Below are 2,406 nucleotides of genomic sequence, written 5' to 3' on the forward strand. Positions count from 1 at the left end.
ATTCTCCTGAGAATTCAGGACACTTTTCTAATTTTGTTAATTTTTGTTTGCTTATTTTTTAAACACATCAGAAACTCAGCAAAATAAAGAGTGGTTATTTTGGAAAGAAAAACCAAGCTGCTTGATTTAATTTTTTAATTGGTGAGATAAACATTCTGTTCTGTGTTCTGCATGCTTTTCCATATTAGTGTTAATTTTTACCCAATGTGTCTATGAAATAGGTTGCTATGTGGTTTTTAAAAAGTGGAAATATGGAAGCCTGAAGGATAGTGTAGGTCTGACTAATGCAATGACTCCAGGAACACTAAGAGACCACAAAGGACTTGCCAACACTATTTCTAAAAGGTTCTGGCAGGTGTAGTCTAGATCCCGATTTTCCAAACTGTGCTAGAAAGAACATTGATAGATGTCGTAGACGACAGTTCAGGTAACTATACTTACCTCATTAGATACACTGTGGTTTTCAATCTGCAAAATTTATACTGATGACTTCTGGATTAGATATGTTGTGGAAAGAGTGTTCAAGTACAAAAAAGTTGCTGCAAAAAGGATAAAAGGTATGGAGTTATTTGCATTTATCAGAATGCAAAGTATATGCACTATAAATCTCATTTACTTCTATTACCTTGACCTTAGATGATAGCAGATAGCAAAGTTGGTGTGTGTGCACACACAGACCTTATACTTAAGTTTCTAGCTGAGATGATTCCTGAAAAGAGTGAGAGAGAATTAGAGAGTAAGAGTGCACTAAGCATGGAGAAGAATCCCAGAGTGCCAGGAAGATGGGTGGGGAGACCCCCCCCCCTCCACCCCGCCCCAGCAGTTCCGACAGGGGAGCTCCAGGATTCCCCTTTAGACTTCTTTTTTATGCACAGGAAGATAGAGATGAGGAAAGGAACAACTACTAAACAGCATTTAGGGAAGTTAAGTGTCTCAGCCCTGGGGCTAACTTAAATGTAAAGAAACAACACTACTCAGAAAATAGTAACAAAAGCAAATAAACCTTAATTACGATTTTGAAATTCAAACCCAACATAATATGCCCTCAGGTCAATAATCTGTTTTATTCCAATGAACTTAGTAACTGCTTGGTGAAAGGATAAATTTATCCTTTTGGTTAATTTGTTTTTGAATACAGAATTTCACAGAGCTACTAGAATATACCTCTTGCTTTTCCCAGAACAGACATTCTCAAAGAGGGGTCTAGGAAGTTTTGCCTTTCAACGACACTTGTTTGTGAGGCCAAATTTTCTTCATTTATTTCAACCAAAAGGATATGCAATAGACTGAACACAGAAGCAGCTATGATACTCCAGCTGTCTTTTACTGAGACATTAAAATTTGAAAAGTATAAAACAATGCTGCATTTCTAACTCCTTTTTTGTAGATGTTAACGTGTTATTTATGTTAACATGTGCTATGGTCTGAATGTTTATGTCTCTCCAAAATTCATATGTTGAAATCCTCACCTCCAAGGTGATGGTATTTGGAGGTAATAAGAGAGAATTAGGTGATGAGGATAGAGCATGAATGAATGGGGTTAGTGCCCTTTCAAGAGAGACCCCCTGGCCGCTTCCACTGTGTCAGGTTGGAGGGAGAAAAAGGCTAAGAGGAATTGCGCCTTTGCCAGAATCTGACGGTGTTGGTGCCCTGATCTCGAACTTCCACCATCCAGAACTGTAAGCAATAAATTTCTGTTGTTTATAAGTGTCAGGCCTCTGAGCCAAAGCTAAGCTGTCATTTCCCCTGTGACCTGCACGTATACATCCAGATGGCCTGAAGCAAGTGAAGAATCACAAAAGAAGTGAAAATGGCCGGTTCCTGCCTTAACTGATGACATTACCTTGTGAAATTCCTTCTCCTGGCTCAGAAGCTCCCCCACTGAGCACCTTGTGACCCCTGCCCAGGCCTGCAAGAGAAAAACCCCTTTGACTGTAATTTTCCACTACCCACCCAAATCCTATAAAACTGCCCCACCCCTATCTCCCTTCCCTGACTCTTGTTTTCAGACTCAGCCCGCCTGCACCCAGGTGAAATAAACAGCCTTGTTGCTCACACAAAGCCTTTTTGGTGATCTCTTCACATGGACATGTGTGACAATAAGCCACTCAGTCGATTGTATTTTGTTATAGTAGTCCAAATGGACTAAGACAACATTTAATGGGTTTATTGTTATTTTTAAATGAATTAATAAATAAAACCTTAAACAATTCCTCATTAAAATTTTGAATACATTAAATATCAACAGATATAACCCACATGAAGGAAACCTCTTTGGAATCCTCAATAATTTTTAAGAGTGTAAAAGGTCCATAGCCAAAAAAAAAAAAAAAAAAAAAAAAATTGAAAACTACTATCTTGGAGAGAAGTCTCATATGATTTGTTTTCCAAAATTATTTGAATCAT

General features: G+C 38.1%; 1 annotated feature.

Moving 5' to 3' along the window:
* Positions 1,392-2,104: an enhancer, noted in NCBI's record as "NANOG-H3K27ac hESC enhancer chr16:59646762-59647474 (GRCh37/hg19 assembly coordinates)". NCBI's record gives its function as "activates a minimal SCP1, AML or CMV promoter by ChIP-STARR-seq in naive H9 embryonic stem cells {active_cell/tissue: H9 hESC(naive)}" and the evidence as "EXISTENCE:reporter gene assay evidence [ECO:0000049][PMID:30033119]".

The sequence above is a fragment of the Homo sapiens genome, chromosome 16 (assembly GCF_000001405.40).
Source record: "Homo sapiens chromosome 16, GRCh38.p14 Primary Assembly".
NCBI classification, from domain to species: domain Eukaryota; kingdom Metazoa; phylum Chordata; class Mammalia; order Primates; family Hominidae; genus Homo; species Homo sapiens.